The sequence below is a fragment of the Homo sapiens genome, chromosome 6 (assembly GCF_000001405.40).
Source record: "Homo sapiens chromosome 6, GRCh38.p14 Primary Assembly".
Taxonomy (NCBI): Eukaryota; Metazoa; Chordata; class Mammalia; order Primates; family Hominidae; genus Homo; species Homo sapiens.
Genome location: NC_000006.12, coordinates 137,620,843 through 137,647,308, shown reverse-complemented (window position 1 = coordinate 137,647,308; position 26,466 = coordinate 137,620,843). Strand labels below are relative to the sequence as shown.

The 26,466-nt window shown below is 39.9% G+C and overlaps 4 annotated features.

The window, feature by feature from the left end:
• Positions 5,688–5,737: an enhancer, noted in NCBI's record as "active region_25143". NCBI's record gives its function as "activates an Ori minimal core promoter by ATAC-STARR-seq in GM12878 lymphoblastoid cells {active_cell/tissue: GM12878}" and the evidence as "EXISTENCE:reporter gene assay evidence [ECO:0000049][PMID:35858748]".
• Positions 9,926–9,985: a silencer, noted in NCBI's record as "silent region_17583". NCBI's record gives its function as "represses an Ori minimal core promoter by ATAC-STARR-seq in GM12878 lymphoblastoid cells {active_cell/tissue: GM12878}" and the evidence as "EXISTENCE:reporter gene assay evidence [ECO:0000049][PMID:35858748]".
• Positions 12,800–12,909: an enhancer, noted in NCBI's record as "active region_25142". NCBI's record gives its function as "activates an Ori minimal core promoter by ATAC-STARR-seq in GM12878 lymphoblastoid cells {active_cell/tissue: GM12878}" and the evidence as "EXISTENCE:reporter gene assay evidence [ECO:0000049][PMID:35858748]".
• Positions 21,125–21,294: an enhancer, noted in NCBI's record as "experimental_90427 CRE fragment used in MPRA reporter constructs". NCBI's record gives its function as "activates a minimal promoter by MPRAs in K562 erythroleukemia cells, with activity observed for both the introgressed and non-introgressed 6:137947237 variant alleles {active_cell/tissue: K562}" and the evidence as "EXISTENCE:reporter gene assay evidence [ECO:0000049][PMID:34662402]".

Here is a 26,466-nt window from a genome sequence, read left to right as displayed (position 1 = left end):
GCAATAAAACAATAATGCAATTTAAAAATGGTCAAAAAGATCTGAATAGATGTTTCCCGAAAGAAGACATACACATGACATGAGCAATGGGTCTTTGAAAAATGCTCAACATCACTAATCATCACGAAAATGCAAATCAAACCACGATGAAAAGTCATCTTTCCCCTGTTAGAATGGCTATTATCAAAAAGACAAAAACAACAGATGCTGGTGAAGATGCAGAGAAAGGGGAATGCTTGTACACTGTTTGTGAGAATGTAAATTAGTAGAGTCATTGTGGAAAATAGTACGGAAGTCCCTCAAAAAACTAAAAATAGGACTACCCTATGATCTAGCAATCCTATTTCTGGGTATATATCTGAAAGAAAGGATATAAGTACATTAAAGAAATATCTGCACTCACATGTTTATTGAAGCATTATTTGTAATAGCCAAGAATGGAACCAACCCAAATGTCCATCAATGGATAAATAGATAAAGAAAATGTTGTGTGTGACACACACACACACACACACACACACACACACAATGGAATATTATTCAGACATAAGAAAAAGAAACCCTGTTATTTGTAGCAACATGGCTGGAACTGGAAGTCATTATGTTAATGGAAATAAGCCAGGCACAGAAAGACAAATACTGCATGTTCTTACTCATAAGGAGGAGCTAAAAGAGTGGATTTCCTGGAGGTAGAAAGTAGAATCGTGGTGACCAGAGGCTGGGAAGGGGAGGAGGGAATAAAGAGAGGTTGGTTAAGGGGTATAAAAATACAGTTAGATAAAAGAAATAAGTTCTAGTATTCAATAGTACAGGAAGAAAATTATAGTCAGCAATAATTTATTAAATATTTCCAAATAGCTAGAAGAGAATGATAATGTTCCCAACACAAAAAAAAGATCAATGTAGGGAGCTTCAAGACAGCTGACTAGAGGCATTCAGTACTCACCCCGCTTTACAAAGAAGAACCAAAACAGCAAGGAGATAGCCATACTTCGGATAGATTGCCTCAGAGAGAACACTAAAATTCAACAGAAAAGTGACAGGAAACACCTAGGCCAAGAAACGAGAGGGAAGCAAAGTAGCCTACTTGGCTGGGATTGGCTGAAAACCCAGGCAGGCTCCCCAGAGTAGGGGAAGGGTAAGTGACTGACCCCCAGTGGTCCACATTCCCACTGAGGACTCCCGCAGTCCTAGCCACGGAAGAGCCCCTGGACCCACAGAGACCCCGAGACTAACATAGGGAACTGCCTGGAATCCGTGCGATGGCATTGCTCCAAAGAGGGCGCTCCCGCTGGGTCCCACACACCCCGAGTCCACACTAAGCAGCTGCAGCACAGTGCCGCTTTGGGAGCCCAACTCCCAGTAGACTGCATCCTGCTCTGGGGTCCAACAGTCCGCGCAACTCCACATCAATGGAAACCTTAGGAAAACTTTCCTGGATTGGTCTACGCAAAGAATTTATGACTAAAATTTCAAGCATGAGCAACAAAAACAAAAACATACAAATGGGACTATATTAAACCTAAAAGCTTCTTCACAGCAAAGGAAACAGTAAACAGTTGAAGAGACAACTCATTGAATAGGAGAAAATAGTTGCAAACTATTCATCCAAAAGGGCACTAATGTCCAGAATAAACAAGGAACCCAAACAACTCAACAGGAAATACAAATGATTCCACTAAAAAGTGGACGAAGTAAAACAATGAACATTTCTCAAAAGAAGACATGCTTCAAATGGCCAAATGCTTCAAATTTGAAGACAGGCTTCAAATGGCCAAAAGGCATATGAAGAAATGCTCAACATCATTAATCGTCAGAGAAATGCACATCAAAGCCACAATGAGATGTTATCTTACTCCGGTCAAAATGGCTGTTATTAAAAAGACAAAAAGTAACAGAGGCCGGGCGCGGTGGTTCACGCCTGTAATCCCAGCACTTTGGGAGGCCAAGGCGAGCGGATCACAAAGTCAGGAGATGGAAACCATCCTGGTTAACACGGTGAAATCCCGTCTCTACTAAAAATACAAAAAATTAGCTGGGCGTGGTGGCGAGCGCCTGTAGTCCCAGCTACTCAGGATGCTGAGGCAGGAGAATCTCTTGAACCCAGCAGGCGGAGGTTGCAGTGAGCCGAGATCAAGCCACTGCACTCCAGCCTGGGTGACAGATTGAGACTCCGTCTCAAAAAAAAAAAAAAAAAAAAAAAAAGTAACAAATTCAGGTAAGGATGTGGAGAAAAAGAAAGTCTTGTACACTGTGTAGGTGGGAATGTAAATAAACTAGTACACCTACTGAGAAACAGTATGGCAATTTCTCAAAAAATGAAAACTAGAATGACCATTGAATCCAGCAATCCCAGTATTGGGTATCTACTCAAAAGAAAAAAAAAATCAATATATCAAAGGTATACCTGCACTCACATGTTTATTGCAGCACTATTCACAATAGCGAAGATATGGAATCAACCTAAGTGTTAATCAATGGATAAATGGACAAAGAAAATGTGGTATATGGATATACACAATGAAATACTATTCAGCCATAAAAAAGAATGAAATCATGTCAACATGGATGGAACTGGAGGTCATCATCTTAAATGAACTAAGCCAATCACAAAAAGGCAAATATCACAAGTTCTCACTTAGATGTGGGAACTAAAATTTTGATTGCTTGGACGTAGAGAGTGGAAAGATAGCTAACAGGGACTGGGAAGTGTGAGTGGGGGGAGATGAAGAGAAATGGGTTTAAACAAACAAGCATACAGTAAGATGGAACAAATTCCACGTTCAGTAGCAGAGTAGGGTGACTATGCTTAACAAACATGTATTGTACTTAGGTAATGGACTCTCTGAATACCTTGAGTCAGTCACTACACATTATACACCTGTAACAAAATTTCTCATGTACCCTATACGTTTGTACAAATTTTTTTATGTCAATTCTTGGTCAAGAATATATTAGCACAATGAAAGAGAGAGAAGTAGAATAATTACTTAAAAGTCCAGTGTTGTTTAACTCCTCTACAGATTTCACTTTCCCTTTGACATTTTTTTTTCCCATGGAGCATAAAATAGACAAATGTTGATTAAACACATTCCCTTTTTTAATTTATTTTTTTCTCCCTGTCATTTACTTTATTTTTGGAGATAATATCTTTTCTCTCTCTTTTTTTTCTTCAATTTTTATTTTAAGTTCCTGGGTACATGTGCAGGATGTGCAGGTTTGTTACATAGGTAAACGTGTGCCATGGTGGTTTGTTGCACAGATCAACCCATCACCTAGGTATTAAGCCCAGCATCCATTAGCTATTCTTTCTGATGCTCTCCCTCCCTGCAAAGCCCTCTGACAGACCCTGGTGTTTGTTTTTCCCCGCCATGTGTCCATGTGTTCTCAGCATTCAGCTACCACTCATAAGTGAGAACATGCAGTGTTGGTTTGCTGAGGATAATGGCTTCCACCTCCATCCATGTCCCTGCAAAGGACATGATGTCATTCCTTTTTATGGCTGCATAGTATTCAGTGGTATATATGTACCACATTTTCTTTATCCAGTCTATCATTGATGGGCATTTGGGTTGATTCCAGGTCTTTACTATTGTGAATAGTGCTGCAATAAACCTACGCATGCATGTATCTTTATAATAGAATGATTTATATTCCTTTGGGTATATACCCAGTAATGGGATTGCTGGGTCAAATGATACTTCTGGTTCCAGGTCTGAGAAATCATCACACAGTCTTCCACAATGGTTGAACTAATTTACACTCCCACCAACAATGTAAAATGTTCCTTTTTCTCCACAACCTCACCGGCATCTGTTGTTTCTGTATATTTTTAATAATCACCATTCTGACTGGCGTGAGATGGTATCTCATTGTGGTGGTTTTGATTTGCATTTCTCTAATGATCAGTGATGTTGATCTTTTTTCATGTTTGTTGGCCGCATGAATGTCTTCTTTTGAGAAATGTCTGTTCATGGTCTTTGCTCACTTTTTAATGAGGTTGTAAATTTGTTTAAGTTCCTTGTAGACTCTGGATATTAGACCTTTGTCAGATGGATTGATTGCAAAAATTTTCTCCTCTTCTGTACGTTGTCTGTTCACTCTGATGATAGCTTCTGTTGCTGTGCTGAAGCTATTTAGTTTATTTAGATCTCATTTGTCAATTTTTGCTTTTGTTGCAATTGCTTTTGGCGTTTTCATCATGAAATCTTTGCCCCTGCCTATGTCCTGAATGGTATTGCCTAGATTTTCTTCTAGAATTTTATAGTTTTGGGTTTTGCATTTAAGTCTTTCATCCATCTTGAGTTAATTTTTGTATAATTTTGTTATTTTTGTATTAATGGAGGTTTTATTATTTTTATTTTGAAGATATAAGACCTATTTAAAGACTATATACTGTCATTAGATAGATTATTCCTATGCTTTAAAAACATAGAATTACAGGGCTTTCTGGATTTTTAATCCAATATTCTGCCCTTTGCTAATAATATACAAAAAAATTCCTCAGGAAAGTGTCATTTTCTATATTATTCTAAGAAGTTTTTGGGAAGGAAACAAAGAATATTTTCTAGATTCATATATCTTTAAAATTTTTTAATGTTTAAAAGTGAAGTCTTTTTAATACAATTGCACTTCACCTGGCATTATAACACCTAGTATCTTTTGTTAAGTTGTCTTTTTGTAAAATCTAGAAATAATCATCATAGTTCATATGAGTATGGCATCTTAGAGTTTTCCAAATGCCTTCACATAAAATATTTCATTTGATCTTTCTATCATTTCTAGTGAGGAAGATAGGGTAGGTATTTCTACAGCCACATCTGGATGAAGGAACTAAGGCTGAGGGTTGAAATGACTTGTCCTAGATCCTGATCACCTAATTAGTGAGTGGCAGAGCCTGGACATGACTGCACATCACTTGCTAACAAAACAAACCACCACCACCAAAAGCCTTAAGTAGAACTAGAAAGTAAGCAAAAACAAAAACATCTTACTAAAATATCAAATATCATGACCACCTTCTTTTTTTTTTTTTTTTTTTTTTTTGAGACGGAGTCTCGCATTGCTGCCCGGCTGGAGTGCAGTGGTGCAATCTCGGCTCACCGCAACCTCCGCCTCCTGGGTTCAAGAGATTCTCCTGCCTCAGCCTCCAGAGTAGCTGCGATTACAGGTGCCCACCACCATGCCCAGATAATTTTTTGTATTTTTAGTAGAGACGGGGTTTCACCATGTTGGCCAGGCTGGTCTCAAACTCCTGACCTCGTGATTCTCCTGCCTTGGCCTCCCAAAGTGCTGAGATTTCAGATGTGAGCCACCTTGCCCGGCCCAGGACCACATTTTATTCAAGATATTATAACAAGCTTTCCACCAAAAAATAAATAAATAAATAAAATGGAAAGACAATGTTAAGAATTTTGAATTTTATAGATATTTTCAAGTGCTTGGAATTACCAAAAGCATAGAGAGTAGAGCCAAATAGTTTTTAAAATTTGAAATGATTAGATTATTAATATTGGAAGGATTTTGTGTCCCATTTATTATCATTCTTTCTCTGCCTGCTGGAATGTGTTTTGTGCTGCAATCCGAGTGAAGTTTTAAGATCTACCCAGAGGCCAGGAGAGGGCAGTGTGAGCTCACAAAATAGAAGCCATACTTAACACACTGCTCGGCCCTGGCACTGCCTGGGTGTCATCTCATATTCCAATGTTCGCAACGATAGCAAAAAAAAAGTCAACACAATAAACTCCAAAGGAAGGAAGGAAGGAAAGAAGGGAGGAAAAATTATAAACCCTCACTATTGAATGAAGATAACATGAAAGAGTAGGAAGAAAATATTTTCAAATACTTGTTGGATATGGACTCTATGCTAAGTGCTACAATGAAAGAGACAAAATCCCTATGGTGAAGGAGAGACATGAAGAAACCAAACTCTGTTTTCAACTGGTCACATTCTTTGTGGCCTCGTTTGTTAATAAAATAAATACTTACTATCAGATGTCATACAAGGACTCATCTGGTCCCCAAATCCTGCAGGGCTTAGATGGCAGTGGCCTGGTGCAAAGGAAAATTTAAGCCCCCAGGTTGAAAGAGAATGGCAAACATGCCAGTGTTCATGCATACCCGATATAGTACATACCTATGAACAATACATTTCCATTGTTCGTTCTGTCAAGGGCTAGAAGAAAATATGCTCATGAATCTAGAGAAAAATTTTATTAAAAATGATCTTATTATTAACTGCAGTATTTTCTATTCCTATAATCCTACCATTCAACTTAGTTCATGTCCCCAGCATCTACTGAGGACCCTCTACGCTGAGCAGGGGAATATGGCAGAGCCTGTGGGAGGCACAGGAGCAGGGGAGGCAGTGGGATGAAATGTCCAAAGGTGGTGACAAAGTTGTATAAGTTATATAATAAAAGGAATACATAAAATGTCCAGCAAAAAAAGACATTGCTTCTGCCTTAGGGTGTTGGAGAATTGAGGAGTGATCGAGATGGACCTTATGGGATTTTGATGGCGGCAGAAGGTGGGATAGAGATTTGACAAGTATGAGGGGAATTTCAGGTAGAGGAAACACAGAGGTGGAGGTGTGGGGTATGTTTGGCGTGATAGTGAGAATCCATCTCCAATGCCCAGAGGACAAGGCATGGGATAGGGAGAGAATGGAGAAGGAGTGGCGTTCCGGTGGGGAAGGGACAAAGGGAATAGAGAGAAGAGGGATGTGGCACCTGGAGAGCCTTGAATGCCGCGTTAATGAATTTGGACTACACGTTCATGGGCTTACTGTTTATCCTCCAACAAGTCCCCAAAAGACTGGGAATGCATTCTGTAAACCAAGGGGAGATGGGATATTGCAGAGCAGATATGTCTAGGTTTTATGTGCATGCATATGTGTATGTGTTTTGTGTGTGACTATGCAGATCTGATCTCGTGGCTAGGTGGCTGCATCCACGAGCACGTAGCTCTCTGACAAAGATAATGAGAATGGCGATAGCTAATTAGAATATTAGTGTCATAGATACTGTGAGCAAGCAGACAAGAGGCAGCTTTGTTCCAAGAGAGCCCTTTATTAGGAGTTGGCGGCATTGGCGAGATTGCCATGCACAGCAGCACCAATGCAAGAAGACATTAATTTCGCTTCTGCTGTTTCACAGACACTAGGTGGAAATCAGTTTCTTCCAGTGAAATATGTATGTTCTGTTCTAACCTTCTGGTATTGTATTCGGTATCAATATTCATTTCAGAAATATTAGATTATTATGAATGATAAGACATTTTTCCCCTAAAAATAAACTTCCTTGTGTTATTCACATGATATATAGGCAGAATTATTTGGTTTGGGACTCAGATAAATGCTGTCGGGAAAACATGAGAAGATAAAAATTTTGCCCACGCTTTGGTGGCGCTAATGTATTTTAGCTGGAAAATCGTCTGGGAATTGAAATAGAATGTTGGAGGTATCCAAGGTTACATATAATATGAAAAAATGTATAAAAAGAAACTACATTTGTTCCTCTCCCATAGTTTTTGAATATGTTATTAGTCCAATGGATCTTGGTAATTTCAGTGACAGATACTTATAATGATTTAACCAAGCCTGAGAACCTATCTGCAGAAAAACATGCAGTCTATCATGTCACCTTCATTTTCAGAGGAATTTCTCAGCCTTGAAACTCAGTAGGCCTAGGTTCAGAACCCTTGCCTGAGACTTCTAGGAAATAATGAGCCACTGTATACCTCTAAGGTGTGTCCCCCTAAAATGTTCCTTTCCCGTGTTATACTTTCTCTTTCATTTCTACATTTAGGACAGTGGTCATTTTCTAACCAGATGATGACTTTAGAAACACAAATTGTGGTTTTATTTAACATTGCAGGCAAATCCTGTAGACCGTGATCCCATAAATACGTGTTCATTCTGACTAACCCAAGATAGTGTGGTTAGAGGAAACCTTTGAAAACCTTGTTTCTTAATATAAGCAAAAATGGGAGTCTTTTAGTAATGAAAATTTGCAGTCAAATTCCATTTTTGTCTTTTATCTTCTGGTCTTTATAAGACCCTGGCAAGAAAAGACCCAACTCCTTCAGGCTAGAGTGGCACAATGAGGTAACAGCCTTATTGAAGTTTTAAACAAGAAGCCCATGAGCTAGTGCTCTTAAAACCTCATGGCAAATTTTATGTATGTTTCAGATCTACTCTGTAGGTTGCTCAGCAGAGGTCCCCCCTTGGCCACTAGCACACATAGCTCACACCAACTGCATACATGTGCCTGCTGCTGTTCTAGAAGGGTTTCAGATAGAAATCCATTTAATCCTCCCAACAACCTGAAGGAGTACAGGAATGTTATTCTGCCTATTTTAGATGAAACTGAGGCCCTGGATGATGAGTTGCTTGTCTCAGAGCCCACGGTGGTAGAGTCAGGATCTACACTCAAGCAGTCTTGTTGCAGAGCCTGTGTACTAACTTATATGCTCCTCTGATATACAGACATTATTTTTTCAAAACAATGGCCCCAGGTAGTAATGGTACTATTCTTATATCTTCTGTTTTGAGGGGATCTGCGACTCTGGCTCGGGCATTCTCTCAGCTCTCCAGTCGTTGAAGGATTTCTCTCTCTCTCTCCATCTCTCTCTCTGGCTCTCACTCTCTCTTTCTCTCTCTGCCACCACACACATGCAATTCAGTTATACATTTGTTCAATTAGGCCTAACCTCCAGTGCAAGGAAAGCAGCAAGCTTTACACTGCTTTCCCATTGGAGGGGCAATAGGCACTCAAGTCTGTCTTCTCCATGAAAGGAAGTCACAAATTTTCACTGAACTCTTCCACAATCAGCATAAAATAGTTATTTAGGGTTTGCAAATAGAAATAGAGAAAATTTTCATTGTGAACTGTCTTCCTTTCCAAAATTTTTTGTGTTTTGCTGTTGTTTATCTTGTTTTCTTGAGATAAATGTTTGTGTTTCTCATTTCCCCTCTTGGCCAGTTTTTCGGTATAAAAATTTTTGAAGCTGATACTTACAAACTTCTAACTCCTCTCTTCCTTTGGGCTTAGATACTTACCCAAACTGGAACTATATTTAAAAGTCTCCTTAATTGCAAGACCTTGACTTTATAGAGGTAAAAGGTCAATTTTAAAACCCATACCCTATACAGTAACCTAACTCAATTCAGGTGCTTTGATTGGTTCACTGCTTTGACAATTACAAGAAACACCACTAGCATCTGAAGAAATTGAAATCCCAGGACTGTCTTCACATCTAAATCCACAATGGTGCCTGGAGCAAATCATGGATCAAAATATCTGATTGGCCAACAACTGACTGGTAATTGTCCATAATTGATTCTCCTGTAAAGTGCAAATGATAGTTAGTTAACAGCAAAGAAATTGAAATATCCTCTCTTTAATGGTAAATTTTATATCTTCATTTAATTTTCAAAAGGCAGGAAAAATATTTTATAAATATCAACCTCCTAGGTCAATTTCTAAAACTTCCAACTTAATAATTGTTTAATATATATTTTGAGTTTTTTTTCTTCATGCAGCATGTATGTTGAGGTCACAGTATGTGAACAGATGGAATATATGGCAGGGGCCAACTAATTAACATTAAAGACAGGGGACCCATTGTCTTTCTATAACTCCCATCCATCTACCTTCATTTCTGTCACCATGGTACCTAGTGGTTCAATTACTGAGTGTTGTGAATAAACTATTAAACAAAACCAACTCCATATAATGCTGCTACTTGATGTTTAAGAAGCTATGCTTGAATATTTTCTAAATCACTGAAACCTTCTCAATAATTTCCTCTGATAAAGGAGGTGAGACTGTAGGGGTTTTTGTGCAATTTATTTAGTTTACAGACCAGTGGAGTGGGAACTGGCATATTTTAAATTGCATCATTGACATTCTTGTGGTTTCTAGCTGCAAGGGCCAACTCTAGAATGCCTCTGAGGTTGAGCCAAAGGAGCATGAGAAAGCATGTGGTTCTTATAAGCCCATATCACATGTAGCATGCTGGGGATTTCAAAAAAGCAGGCATTCTCCAGACTTGAATTAACTCCTGCTTCTTCCCAGAGCAGCCATTTCCTCATAGACTCGGATGGAATCAAACCAGGAAGCTCTAAGCAGCATGAAAGCTCTCAAATGTGACCTGTGAGTTTTTCCTAAGTTTTCTTGGCAGCCTGTGGCAGAAGAGCACTGAAAATAGATGCAATAGAATTACCATGTGATCCAGCAATCCCAGGTATATATTCAAAAGAATGCAAAGCTGGATCTCAAAGAGATATTTGCACACCCGTGTTCATTGCAGCACTATTCACAATAGTCAAGATGTGGAAACAACCCAAATGTCCATCAACAGATGAATGGATAAAAAAAAATATGGTATATACACACAATAGCACATTATTCAGCCTTAAAAAAGAAGGAAATTCTGTTATATGCTGCAACATGGATGAACATTAGGAAAGGAGAATGGTGGTTGCCAGAGGCTGGGGGAGGGGGAAATGGACAGTTGGTGTTCAATGAGTGTAGTTTCAGTTTTGCAAGATGGAAAGGTTCTGGAGACCTGTTGTATAACAATGTGAATATACTTTACACTACTAAATTGTACATTTAAAATGGTTAGGATGATAAATTTTATGTTATGTGTTTTTACCACAATTTTAAAAAATACAGTTGACCTTCAAATAACACAGATTTAAACTGCATGGGTGCACTTATACTCAGATTTTCTTCCACCTCTGCCACCTTTGAGGCAACCAGAACAACCCCTCCTCTTTCTCCTCCTCCTCAGTCCACTCAACATGAAAATGATGAGTATGAAGACCTTTATGATGATCGACATGGCACTTAATACATAGTAAATATATTTTCTCTTCCTTATGATTTTCTTAACAATATTTTTTTTCTCTAGCTTACTTTATTGTAAGAATACAGTATATAAGTCATAAAACACAAAATATGTGTCAATTGACTGTTATAGGTAGGACATCTGGACAATAGTAGGCTATTAGTAGTTAAGTTCTGGGGGAAGTCAAAAGTCATACATGAATTTTCCACTGCAAGGGAAGTTGTCAAGGGTCAATGGTAACTTCTAGTGTCCCCTTACCTTGAACTCAGGGGTTGTAATGAACTCAGCAGCTGGTCTGCAGAGGACCTTAGTGAGGTAATTCTGATTGGAGAAAGCTACTTTCCAGCTAAAATTACTTGCATTGGAGTTGACCAATGTGTAGAATGCCTGCCAGAACCTACATCCCAGAACCCTACTGGGCTGCCCCACTGCCTCGAAAGCTATTGTGGAAAGCCAGGAATCTTCTGAGAGTCTCTAAGTTCAGATGTGGAGAAAGATGGCACAAATAAAGAAACAAATCAACACACCAGCAAATGTGTTTGACTCGGGGAGGTGTCTCTAGGGGACAACGTTAACTTGGGGTAGCATATCCACATATCTTTTTTCCCGACATGCCCCAAAACTTGCAGAATTTTATACCTGGAAGGAACAATAATAATCAGTCAGAAGAAATATATTACCTCATTTCATAAGAGGAAAGTGAAGTGAAGGAAGGTAAGAGACTTACTTACGCAAGGACCTCCAGAGAAATGATTAGAAAGTTGAGTTTAGGATTCTCAGTCTCAAGGGGGATTTTAGGCAGAATCCATTCTTGAATGAGACATGACAGGAAAGACCAATATTAACAAACACACGGGACAAAACTGGCTCTATTTTTGTTGAAAGGAAAGCAGAGGTGGCAGGAACGGTGGGGTGTCATTTCCCCTCTCCACACCCCGAGCCCACCCTGGGCCCTAGAGGCATGCCTGTGACTGCCTGTGCCTCAAAACTCTGTAAGGCACAGTTTGAAGAGCACCCTAGCATACCACCACTTTTCACTGGACACTCCCACTACAGCATTTATAGAGGAGGTCATTATCTTACTTTGTAATTTTTGTTTGCATGTCTGCAGGAAGAAAGTTCAAAATAATAGCTACCATATATTGAGTATTTACTGTGTGCTGGCTTGCTGGCTAAATACGTTACAGACATTATTTAATCAAATCCACCCAAAAAAGTTATTGTTTTATCCCATTTTGCAGGCGGAAGAAAAAGGCCATGTAAAATAGGTTGCTTATAAGTGGCAGGACTGGGATTCAAACACAATTATGACCAAAGACCTGTGCCTATAACCAAAGCAGCAATCAGGCTTGTGATTGGTTCATCTTTGGATGCCCATTACCTAGCATAAGGCCAGTACATAGTAGGTGCTTCATAAAAATGCTTTGATTGAGATTCCTCTGGTTCACAGACATCATTTTAAAGTGCTAAATTTCTACAAAAAGAATAATTTTAAAATGTTAAACATTTAAAAAACAAAATTGTCAAAAGAAAAAAGAAATAATTTAAAAACTACAAGCGCAAATTTCTCAGGGAAGGTTAATGACTATCAATCACTCACACGTAAGTGTGAATTGGTTAAATCTGGTTGCTTTAACTGTTAGCTCTTGCCTAAGCCGCGTGGAATCTAGTGTAGTATCTAAGATCATTAACTAGAGTTGGGCTCTTAAAATCTTCTCTATCATTTAGTGGCTATGTAACCCTGGGCAAACCATCTAACCTCTCTAACTCAGTTTTCCCATCTGTAAAATGGATATTATGGTAGAATTTATCACCTGGAATTACTGTCTGGATTGGATGAATTTATTCAAAAGTATTTAGAACAGAAATTGGTCATAGTAAGCACTCAATAAAAAATAATATATTGGCCGGGTGCAGTGGCTCACACCTGTAATCCCAGCACTTTGAGAGGCCGAGGTAAGCAGGACATTTGAAGCCTGGAGTTTGAGACCAGCCTGGCCAACATGGTGAAACCCCGTCTGTACTAAAAATACAAAAAAATTAGTCAGGCGTGGTGGCACGCACCTGTAATTCCGGCTACGTGGGTGGCTGAGATATGAGAATTGCTTGAACCCCGGAGGCAGAGGTTGCAGTGATCGAGTCACTGCATTCCAGCCTGGGTGACAAAGTGAGACTGTCTCAAAAAAAAAAAAAAAAATCAAAGGGATGCCTGCACTTGCATGTTTATGGCAGCACTATGCACTATAGTAAAGGTATAGAATCAACCTAAGTGTTCGTCAATGGATAAATGGATAAAGTAAATGTGGTATATGTATATACACAATGGAATACCATTCAGCCATAAAAAGAATAAAATTGTATCACTTGCAGCAACACGGATGGAACTGGAGGTCATTATCTTAAGTGAAATAAACCAGGCACAGAAAGAAAAATATCACGTGTTCTCAGTTATATGTGGGAGCTAAAAATTTGATCACCTGGAAGTAGAGAGTGGAATAATGGATAACAGAGACTGGGAAAGATGAGTAGCGGGGAGAGGGGAATATAAAGAGAGATAGGTTAAAAGATACAAACATACAGTAAGATGGAATCAATTCAATGTTTGGTCAGAGCAGGGTGACTATACTTAACAAGAAAGTATTGTACTCAAGTGGTGGACTCTCTGAATGCCCTGACTTCATCACTACACAATATATACACATAACACAATTTCTCATGCACTCTATACATTTGTACAAATAAAAATAAATAAATAATCATTAATTACTATTATAAACCACAATGAAGAAAAGGGTATTATGTATACTTTTTGGCTTGGTTGTCATTGTTTTTTTTTTTTTTTTTTTCAAAAGGAGGGAGAGAAGGTAGGTAGTTTTTAAGCATGGTTTGGGCTGCTGAGATGGGAGACCAGAGCAAATGTACCAGGGAGTCCCTGGGCATCTGATGATGGACTATTACAGAGGATAAGAGTAATCTAGGCCGGGCGCGGTGGCTCATGCCAGCAATCCCAGCACTTTGGGAGACCAAGGCAGGCAGATCACGAGGTCAGGATTTCGACACCTGCCTGACCAACATGGTGAAAACTAGTCTTTACTAAAAATACAAAAATTAGCCAGGTGTGGTGGTACTTGCCTGTAATTCCAGCTTCTTGGGAGGCTGAGGCAGGGGAATCACTTGAACCCAGGAGGCAGAGGTTGCAGGAGTTGAGATTGCACCATTCCACTCTAGCCTGGCGACAGAGCGAGACTCCGTCTCAAATAACAAACAAACAAAAAAAGAGTAATCTAGACAAGGGCCAAAGATAGCTCATTTCAGGAATGTGCTTAAGACCTGCACTTATCTAGGTAAGGAAACAATACTTCTATTTCATTTTCATCTCTTCCACATCTCTTGGCAGCTGATCTGGACTCAATTTTGAGCTCTAGATCAGTCGTACTGTCAGAAAGAATTTTGTGGCTGGCATAAGTCTTTGGCAATAACAAAAATGAGGAAATGTTATAGCTTGCCACTTACTTTCTGATATGGTTTGGCTGTGTCCCACCCAAATCTCATCTTGAATTGTGGCTCCCATAATTCCCATGTGTTGTGGGAGGGACCCAGTGGGAGATAATTGAATTGTGGGGTCAGTTCCCCCATACTGTTCTCATGGTAGTGAATAAGTCTCACAAGATCTGATGGTTTGATAAGGGGAAACTCCTTTCACTTGGCTCTCATTCTTTCTTGGCTGCTGCAATGTAAGACATGCCTTTCACCTTCCACCATGATTGTGAGGCCTCCCCAGCCATACGGAACTGTGAATCCATTACCTCTTCTCTTTATAAATTATCCTGTCTCGGGTATGTCTTTATCAGCAGTATGAAAATGGACTAATATACTTTCCAATGAATGGTTACGTGTTTGGTCAGCTTGTTTCATCCAATTCTCAGGACTTGATCTACGAAAAGGAAAGCCAAAGACATAATAGAGCAGGTGTCCTGCTGGGAGAAGGAGCGGGAAGAGCTCTGCCATGGAGCAGATATGAATCAGGGAGGACTAAATTCCCAGTCTCCCTTGACTCTTTCTCACTTGGCCGGTGAATTAGTGGAAAAAGATAGAAAGACACAGGAAGAAACCAAGTACTTCCTAAGGCATCCCTGGCCTAGGCTGTGTTGGTCTGTGTTGCTCTGTCAGATCAGCAGGGGCATCAGATTCTCACAGGAGCATGAGCCCTACAGTGAACTGCATGTGAGGGATCTAGGTTGCCAACTCTTTATAAGAATCTAGTGCCTGATGATCTGAGGTGGAACAGTTTCATCCTGAAACCATCCCCCGCCACCCTCCATCCATGGAAATTTGTCTTCCATGAAACCAGCCCAGTTGGTTTCTATTACAGAGTTTAAGAGTAATCTAGGCAAGGGCCAAAGTTAGCACATTTCAGAAATGGTATTAAGACCTGCACTGTATCTGGGTGAGGAAACAATACTTATGTTTTATTTTCAGAGTCCCCTCTGATTCAGAGCAGACTAGGGGAGGAGTGGGAGCAGAGCTGAAAGTGAACTTGCAGTAGACCACCATACACTTCAAGGAGAATTGACTTTTTCCCTAACAGAAAAAGGGAAAGTTTCATGCTTTAAACTGTAGAGTACATGCCTGTGTGTCTTTTATTTTTCACTTATGTTTAATTAGATCTGAGAACAGGCTTACTGCTAAAGCTTAAATAATTAACTAGCATTTATTTGTAAAAGATAGATGGCCATAACATCATCTAGCAAAGTGGAGAAAATATAACTGGATTCTGTCTCTATCAAGAACATCCAGAAAGAGAGAGAGGTAACCTGGAAACTCTGTCAGAGGATAGTTCTTAGTCAAGGTAATCGCACAATACAACCTCTGCTTTACCATATAAGGAAATTAAACTTCTGGCTCCAGTTGCTGCCAGAAGTACTGACTATGGTAACTCCTGCTGTACAGCTCTGGCTCATCAGACCCTGCAACTCCAGCTTCCTTCCAGCCCTAAGGTGGTAGCAGCTTGCTGCTATTGTATTGCTAAGCACTGGGTTGTTTCTCGCTGCTCCTTATTTGGCTTCTCAGCTTTCCCATTATTGGTGAAACCAATTCCCTGTAACAAACTTTCTCATTGTGAAATATCTATGATGGTTTCTGGTTTTGTTTTTGTTTTCTTCCCAGTGGGTATCTGAATGCTATAGAGAGAATAAGAGAACTCTATACACACTTTAGAAATGAGAAAGAGAAAGTCCTATTTCTATCTTCCTATTTTAACATTGTTTAGGCTATTATTTCGTTATTTTGTGTCTTTCTTAATAGGTAGCTTTATGAAGCAAGCAATACATCAGCAAACAGATCTTGAGCACTTCCTTTCTATAGTGTACTTTAGTCATCTCTAAAAAATAATCTGATAGAACTGTTGCTTTCAGCTCACTATCACAGCAAACAATTGCAGCTCACCCTGATAAAGATAGCTGCAAATGGAATTTCCTGGACTCCACCTGTCTTCTGAGGCTTTCAGCTGTCTATGCCATATCCTCTCACATCCAGACACAAGAGTAGAGGCTGGAGCATTGTCACAGCACCTTAGGACCTTCCACGTCCTGCCTAAGTATTTCACTGACCACTGTGAGCCCAGGAATTGCCAAGGGAGCAAGTCCAACCACAGCTGCAGCAGAGTGCACTGACAGGGCAGGCCCATAATGGGCACTTGCCCATCTGTTGTGCAGTTAGTTTTTGGCCTTTTTAATAGAGTAGTGTTAGAAACATTGTAACAACTGAACATCCACACCTAAGGGGTCAGAGATGGCCTCATTAATAGGGGACCCTAAGGCAGCCCTTACTTGAAACTCTCCAAGAGAGATATACGTGTATTTTCTGTCCTTCAGAAAATGCAATTTTTTTCTGGACACATTTCTAATGATTTCACTTAATAACCACGTTTTATGTAGCTTTGAATTACTAGAGCTATCTAGTTATTATGAACCACAGGATACGATGTCAGAATCTCAAAGCACAAGAGAAATAGGACTAACTAACTTATACAAAGTAATTTGGAATTTGCAAAGTACTTTCACACTCATTAGCTCAATTTTTTTTTTTGAGATGTAGCCTTGCTCTGTTGCCCAGGCTGGTGTGCAGTGGTGCGGTCTCAGCTCACTGCAGCCTCTGCCTCCCGGGTTCAAGTGATTCTCCTGCCTAGCCTCCCGAGTAGCTGGGACTACAGGTGTGCACTGCCGTGCCTGGATACATTTGCTTTTGTAATTTTGGTAGAGACAGGGTTTCACCATGTTGGCCAGGCTGGTCTCAAACTCCTGACCCCAAGTGATCTGCCCGCCTCAGCCTCCCAAAGTGCTAGGCATAAGGTACCGCACCTGGCCCATTAGCTCAATCTCGCTGATGGTTTTGGACATTGTTCTGGCAAAAAAAGATGAGGCCTAGAAGTGCTACCTCAAACAAATGATTTCAGAATTAAAATGAGGCAATATTTTAAGTACTTTCTACTCCTGCATGGGCAAAGTCATTTTTTTTGATACAAATATTTTCTGTCTTTTGGAGAACCCTCTATAGCAGTGGCTCCCAACCTTTTTGGCACCAGGGAGTAGTATCGTGGAAGACAATTTTTCCGTGGAAGTGGGTTTGGGGAGGGGATGGTTTTGGGGTGAAACTGTTCCCACCTCAGATCGCCAGGCACTAGATTCTTATAAGTAGCCGGCAACCTAGATCCGCCGTTCACAATAGGGTTCATGCTCCTATGAGAATCCAATGGCCCCACTGATCTGACTGGAGGCGTGGAGCACAGGCGGTAATGCTCACCCACCCACGGCTCACCTCTTGCTGTGAGGCCTGTTCCTGACAGGCCACAGACCAGTATGGATCCATGGTCCCGGGGGTTGAGGACCCTTGCTCTGTAGCATACATTTGAGATCTCGTCTTATTCTAATTGTTGCAAGCAATACAACATCAGAATTTCTGGTTATGGAGTCTTGGGCCTCTTTTTACTGATTTGGAAGGAAATTTTCAAAATTTGCCTAGTTAAGCAGTTGACTCCTTTTGCTTTAGTGAGCTCAGTCTTATTATATCCAGTGTTCTTGCTATATCTCTTGATAATGAGGCTTTATACATATATATATATACACACACACACACAATCATACATACGTGTATAATGATACCTGTATATATGTATAATAATAATGAAGCTTTGTATATAAAGCCTTATCATATAAAGCCTGTGTGTGTGTATATATGTGTGTGTATATATATATATACACACATACACATACATATATATATATACACATACACATACATATATATATACACACATACTGACAGGCCACAGACCATATATATATATGTGTGTGTGTGTGTATATATGTGTGTGTGTATATATATATATATACACATACACATACATATATATATACACATACACATACATATATATACACACACATACTGACAGGCCACAGACCATATATGTATATGTGTGTGTATATAATGTGTACACACACACGTACACATTACTATATATATATAGTGACAGTGTAATTTATTTATAGAGACATTTAAACTCCATGACATGGACAAGCCCAAAGCTATGGTTCTCTCTACAATGAGCCTATTTACATTTTCCTTATACAAGAGAAACTTTCTAAAGATCTTCTTTACTTTTTTTTTTTTTTGAGGCGGAGTCTCACTCTATTGCCCAGGCTGGAGTACAGTGGCGCAGTCTTGGCTCACTGCAAGCTCCGCCTCCCGGGTTCACACCATTCTCCTGCCTCAGCCTCCCAAGTAGCTGGGACTACAGGTGCCCGCCACCACGCCCGGTTAATTTTTTTTGTATTTTTAGTAGAGACGGGGTTTCACCGTATTAGCCAGGATGGTCTCGATCTCCTGACCTCATGATCCGCGCGCCTCGGCCTCCCAAAGTGCTGGGATTACAGGCATGAGCCACCGCGCCTGGCTGACCTTCTTTACTCTTAATCCTAGGACCATACCTAGTGTAAAATTTTTTTAATTAGAGAAAATCCTGAAATTTTCAAAAATGTAAAAACAAATCTAAAGCTTTAGGTCTGCCTAATCCAAAATGAATTCCACTTTAACATGTGCCATTTCATGGAAAAATAACTGGGTCCTTTTTATTTTAGACATAAGCAAGTATCTTTCTAGAGTTAGGAACTCAAAATAATGGCAGTAAAACGCATTTATTCAGATTCTTACTGAATAGCTACTATTCCCAACATTATGCTGGGGTGACAATATGAAAGAAGGCACAGTCCCTCGTAGTGTTTGGTCTAGTGGAAGAGGAAGATGATTGAGCTCTTCACTTGTAACAGAATAGACTCCTGCCAAAACTCTAGAGCCTAGGGGCAGGACAAACTATGGATTTTTCATGCAATAATAATAATAATACTCTATATTACTATATAAATACATATATATCCATACATACATTAGTATACTATACTTGACATTACTACATATGCATATATATCCTTGTATATACTCTAACATTACTATATATACATACACAAATAAAACTATATATACATATATAAAGATACATATATACACACATTAGTATACCATATTTGACATTACTACATAGTCACATATTTTCTTACATATACTGTAACATTACTATGTATACATATATAAGGATATACATGTCTACATACATGTATAAGAATATATATGTATATGTAGTAATGACAAGTATAGTATACTAATGTGTGCACATATGTATATGTATTTACATAGTAATATCAAGTATTATTATTATTGCATGAAAAATCTATAACTTGTATGCAGATATATTTCTATGTGTCTGTATAGACACATATCTGTGTGTATATGTGTGTGTGTATGTGTATGTGTGTGTGTGTGTTTGTGTATGTGTATATATAAAAAATATATATATATAGTTATCTTTTCCTCGATTTCTAATACATAACTTGGCATAGGGCAAAATCTCAATAAATATTTCCTGAGTTAATAAGCTAAAGAAATGTTATTTGATTTGAAGACTAAAAGAATCCCTAGCACATGAAGGGCTTTAAAATAAAAGAGAGGGAGAGTCTGGGTCTCACTCTATTTGTCGTTTAGGACTCAAATCTTTGGATGCCTTCTAATATATTGCCCATGGGGTATCATCTTTATGATGCGGATCTTACTCCTTAGCTTCTTCCTTTCAATTCAGTTTAGGAAATATCTTTTGAATAACTACTGTGTGCTAGACAATGATAAGTACTGAGATATAAAAATGGTTTCAGTAAGGAGGAAACTCAAATATAATGTGGAAATAAAAGTATGTGACCCTAAGGATGCAGATTGTATTTTGTTCATCTTTTTATCTCCAATGCCATGGCAGATAGCTGGTTGAAGGTTGTCAGATGAATGGATACATGGATAGAGGAATTAAGACTTAAAAGACAGCAGTAATAAGGGAATAATTCTCATTTGATTTATGTGTGAGGGAGAAAGGGCTTAGTCTTGAAAGACTGCAAATTGGAGATGACAGTTGAACTTGGGTTTGAAGATGAGAAGAAGCTCTTAAGGTAGAGAAGGGGAGATGAATAGCATAGTCAAGAGGAGGCAGAGCGAATAGACATGGGAGAGTGAAAGAACACAGCTCCCCGTGGCTCCCTTGGGGAAGCTGGGGACAAACTGGCTGTGCTAGTGGAGAAGAAATGATTTCTCATTGTTACAGTATTCTTTCACCATGGAGGACCAGAAGGCTAGTCTTGTTTCAGCTCTCAAGATAGGGTAATTTCTCCCCGCTCCCCTGCTTTTTAAAATTTCCTTAGCTTACTTGGTTCTCAGTTTTGGAGAAAAGTGAAGTAAGAAATGTGGGAAACAGGACAGATGAGGAAACTGATGTTAAGTGGCTCATCCAGGATCACCTTAGTAACTTCATTCCCTGCCTTGCCTGCTTCAGCCTGATGTGTGTCCCTGGAAATTTGTAACTGATTCTTTGGATTGTTGCCAGAGTTTGAAAATAATATTAGGTTGGTGCAAAAGTAATTGCGGTTTTTACTTTTCACCAACATATACAACTCAGCAATCCCAGATGGACTCCAAAAGGACTGTATCAAATCAAGTTGCTAGACTATCAAAAAATTCCTGTTCTTCCCTAAATTATTTGTAGCTCAATCCAAAAGAAACCAAAAGAAAGACATCCAAGTGCCATCCAGACTCGCTTTCCAATGGGCCAGACCATTTCTGAACAGTTCCTTCCATCCTGCCAGTTGCCACTTCCTAACGAGCATCAGGTTAACATTTTTAAGAGAAAGAATAATTTCGCTAGGAATACAGCTGTGAGGAAAAGATATTCCACCTTCTAATAAAATAGTAATGCTGCAAGCTCAGCGGCTCATAAAACATTTATAACCTTCAGCCAGTAAAGAGAGAACAAGAGATTTAAATGTTGCTGCTTGATGCTTGGCATAAACTCCACGCAAAAACACGTGTGCTGCAGCAGGGTCCAGGGAAACAGGTCCCCTTGTGGCTGCGGGTGGCAGTCTGTTTTTCAGTTACTCTCCTGGTTCTTTTTCATATCCACCTGCTTTCGTTTCATAATCCCCTCCTTTTTTTTTTTTTATTACTTTGGAGTTTTTTTTTTCTTCAGCATCTCAGGGTTTGTGCTAATTGGGGTATGAACAACATAGCTTGTTTTTCAGATTGCTGTATTATTTCTACTTTCGAGAAATGAATTCCCTGATGTGTTGAGTAGTTTGGCTAGCATGTATGACATAAGTTTCTTTTCCGTGTTTTACAATTGTAATTGCAATATCATTTTGAGCACAAATTTCCTTTTGTTAGTGTTTTTTGCCCCTCTTCTCTTGCTGGCAGCGGCCCTCATCCAGCCTGGGTCACCATTCAGAACCAAGTTTCGTGTGGGCAGTTTGGGGTTCATGTACCTGGGAAAATTGCTGATCCAGCCTCTCGGCCAGTGTGTGCTACTGGGTGCAGGCTCTGACGGAGGAACCCCAGCTTCTCTCTCCTGCCACCCTAGGCAGTCGCTGGTTATTGGGCACAGCCCCAGGCTAGAGCTGCAGTTTTTCTAGGGCCTGTTCCTTAAAAAAGCACCTTGTCCTGGCCCTTTGTGTCAAACAGCCAGTCCAACCCTGAGGCCAGCACTGGAAGCCTCGGGGCCTGTTCCACCGAGCCCACTAACTCCTGGTACCCGCAGATGGTTTCTATTCTCAAGTCCAGAAAGCTGAGCCTCTGCCATCCCTCATGGTTCTGTTTCTAGACCATACAGATGTTCTCTTCTTTTTGAGAGTTTTTATGTATTTTTAATTTTTAAAAAATTTACTTTAAAAAAAAAAAAAGAGAGACAGGATCTCAGTCTGTTGCCCAGACTGGAGTGCAGTGGCACGATCATAGCTCACTGTAACTTCGAAATCCTAGGCTCAAGCAATCTTCCTGCCTCAGCTTCCCAAGTAGCTGGGAATACAGGTGTGTGCCACTATGCTTGGTTAATTTTGTTATTTTTTGTAGAGATGAGTTCTCCCTATGTTGTCCAGGCTGATCTTGAATGCCTGGGCTCAAGTAATCCTCCTGCCTTGGCCTCCCAAAGTGCTGGGATTACAGGCATGACTCACTGCACCCAGCCAAAAAATTTACTTATTATCTTCTCTGCTTGAAGAGAAAGGGGTGTGAATTTCCACACGTATTCATTCAATCAACTTAAGCAGGAATTGTGAGACCTATCTAATCTCCCTTCCAGATTTTAAATTCTTTAATAATAGTGTTATATATTATTTGACTTTATATCCTTCCTAATAGCACACACTTAAAAATGTTTATTGAATGAATAAAAAATGAATAAATGAATGCAGGCCCAATTCCATTCCTTATTTGAGACGCTTTTTAATTTCCTCACTCAGTTCTGATGATGTCACTCCAAGAGGTCAGGCAGCTGCTTGCTCCTCCCAACCCAAATCAGTGATGGCTCAACTTATCTTACAAGAGTCTTGGCTCCAGGTGCTGCTTCATATCATGTATTCAGAACTGTTTGAATTATTATTGTTTTATTCTAAAAGTAATATGTAATTCTAAGAGGATATATAATGGAGACCTGCACTGCAATCGAGTCAAACATAATACATTTTTCTTATTGAAAATAATAATATGCAATAGTGGTAGAAAATGTATTCAGTACACACAAGCAAACTAAAGAAAAAAACCATTCCACCATGCTACTCATTAACATTTGGTGTGTACCTGTCCTTCCTTTCTCTCCCACTGTAATATGCCCATGCTAATAAAGGGGCGTTCCTTGTTTGCCACTTGGCTCACTTACTAGCGTTCTGTTCTTGCAGTGAATTAGGGATGTTCTCTTTCAGTGTTGATGTGGCCATCAGATGTGGCTTTCAGCTCCCAGAGATGCAAACGTGGCTGTATTCTAGTATTTTTGTATTTTTATTATTTTTACTCTGAGGTGGATGTTAGGAAGTGAGCATATTCTGATAGCATGAAATGTGGAGACGTTTTTGCTGGTTTTGCTGCCGGCGTTGCTGAAGCAGCTGACTGTGATGAATACGCAGATAAATAAGTTTCTGCTCAGGAGACAGACATTTTGTGCTTGCCTGGTGGCAGGAGGCCTGGATTCTATATTCTTTTGGTCTCTGCTTTCCTCTGTCTGGTGCTTCCCTTTGGTCAAACCCCTTTTGCTACCGGTGGAGGTTATCCAGGTTATTGGTGTCTTGAACAAAGACTTAGATAAGACACACAAACAAAGCAAGGAAAGAATGAAGCAACAAAAGCAGAGATTTATTGAAAACGACAATACACCCCACAGAGTGGGACTGAGCTGAGCATAGGGGCTCAAGAGCCCAGTTACAGAATTTTCTGGATTTTAAATACCCTCTAGAGGTTTCTCATTGGCTACTTCGTATACACTCCATGCAAATGAAGTAGTGGACTGCAATTAGTCTGAATGGTTGCAGGAAGCAAGTTTTCCTGCAGAAAGCAACCAATCAGAGGCTGAAGTGAAGTTACAGAGTTACACTCCTATGCAAATTGCTTTCTGCAACCAATCAGAGGTACTTTCAATTTTCCATCTGCCACGCAGAAAAAAGGTGGGGGTTGCAAAGGGGGTAGCCTCTGGTCGTTTTGTTACTTAGGTGTGGATAGTTGGGTTTGTCCTTTTGATTTAGTTCTAGGAAGTCAGCATGAATCGTCCTTAGGCTCCCTGCCTCCATACCCTATTCTCCTGCCTCACTTCCATAAAACAAAAATGGCCATGTGTGGCTGACAAGATGCTGCTTAAATCCAGGCCATTTTATACATGAAAATGGCGAGGAGCCTCTGGGTTGCTGTTCAGGATGAAGGTTAAAAATAAAACCGAGAACCCCAAGTCCAAATTCCTGGTGCTTTCCAAGCTGTTCTAAAAAGGGGCATTTCCTCTCCTTCAGGACACTGGGGTTGCAGTGGGCTTCCAGCAGCTTCAGTTCCCAGCAGGGTGATGAGGAAGAGCACAGAGAGTAAGACCAGAGGCAGGATCAGAAGGACAGCAGTGCATGGAGGAATCCAGGAGAGCTGGATACCCACACATGACCTGAAGAAGGGCGTGAACAGACAATGATGCTCTATACCCTGAGACTGTTCTTACCATCCGACTGTAAACATGTGAGAAGTAAAAATGACAAATGCAGATTTTAAAATGCAAAAAAAAATATCATGAGGGAAGAGGCATAGGTGAGGTATAAGCCATCTGGTACTGAGAAAGTCCTGGAAAGGTGGTACAATTAAATTAAGAATCTAAGTATTCTGCAAGTCAGAGAATAATAAACAAGAAATGTTTTGGTTCCTGAAGGACGAAAGGTCAGGGGGACATGATAGAATGTGAAGTGAAGTGAAGTGTGAATAAAGCCACATAGCTCTTGCTGAGAAGTATCAAGAAAGATGAGTTTATAGTCTTTTTAAGAGCAGCAAGGGAAGAGGAATGAGAAATATGGGAAATGGAGCTACTTCAAATTCAGGACTAAGTTCATACTTTCCTAGGATGAACATCATTCATTACAATGCCCATGCAGGTTTTAAATAGTGAGGTGTTTATTGGGCACTTACTCTGTTAAGAGCTATTTTGATCATTTGAGGTCTGACTGAAAAAAACAAAACAAAAAAACCAAGTTTCTGTTTTCAAGGAACCCAAAATCTGGTTGGAAAAATGCAACACAAACAGTACAATAGTATAGCATTAGTTTGGTGGTGTGGATGACAGAGTATATGAATGCTCTGTCATTCTTTTCTAATATGCAAGAAATGTACAATGTTGGGAGAAGATCATATGCAGCGGTTGTGGGAATGAGCAGGGCAGGCATGGCGAAGGAGGTGGGACTTGATTAGAATAAAAAGAAAAGGAGGGCCGGGCGCTTTGGCTCCCGCCTGTAATCCCAGCACTTTGAGAGACCAAGGCAGGCAGATCTGGAGGTCGGGAGATCCAGACCATCCTGGCTAACACGGTGAAACCCCGTCTCTACTAAAAACACAAAAAACTTATCCAGGCGTGGTGGTGGGAGACTGTAGTCCCAGCTACTTGGGAGGCTGAGGCAGGAGAATGGCGTGAACCCAGGAGGCGGAGCTTGCAGTGAGCGGAGATCACACCGCAGCACTCCAGCCTGGGTGAGACAGCAAGACTCCGTCTCAAAAAAAAAAAAAAAAGAAAAGGAGAAGTGAGACTATAGCTTAAGAAAGCTTGCACCCCCAAGGCCAAGGTTAACACTGTGTCTAGCATTTTACAGGGGAGCAATAATGTTTGTTCATAAAAGGATAGCAGATGGATGGTGTCAGGGCATCACTTGCTCACAGAACAGTGAGAGACTAAACCTAGGAACATCACAAAGTGGGGAGGCAGATTATGGAGGGTCTCATACACAGGAAGAGAGGAGGGCTTAGATTGGATGGGGTAGGAAACAGAATTCTACTAAATGATTTTTATTTTGTGTTTTTAATTAACATGCTAAAAAATTGACATTTTGTGTTTGTGTGGTTCTACGAATTTTAACACGTGCATTCTTCGTATCTAATACCACGAATGGATACATAACAATTCCATCACTCCAAAAATCCTCCCTGTGCTATCCCTTCGTAGTCACAACTTTCTCCCATCTCTAACCTCTGGCAACCACTGATATGTTCTCCCTCACTGTAGCTTGTCTTTTTGAGAGTGTCATGTAAATGGAATTCTACTGTACGGAACCTTTCGAGGCTGATTTCTTTCACTCAACTTAAAGATTTTGAGAGTCTTCGAAGTTGTTACCAACCGTCTATTCCTGGACAAGCAGGATTCCATCATACTCACCCATTAATTAGGCTGTTTGGGTTAGTTCCAGTTTTTGGTGATTATAGATAGAGCTACTGTAAACATCTGTATACAAATGTTTATGTTCTCTAGGGTATATACCCAGGAGTGAGATTTGTGGGTCGTATGGTAAGTGTATATTTAACTTTGTAAGAAACTGCCAAACATGTTCAGAGTGGCTATACCACTTTGCATTCCCACCAAAAATGTGTGAGAATTCCAGTTGCTCTATGTTTTCATCAAAACTTGGTATTGCTATTATTTTTTATTTTAGCCATGAAAAAGTATATAATTGTATCTTATTGTGG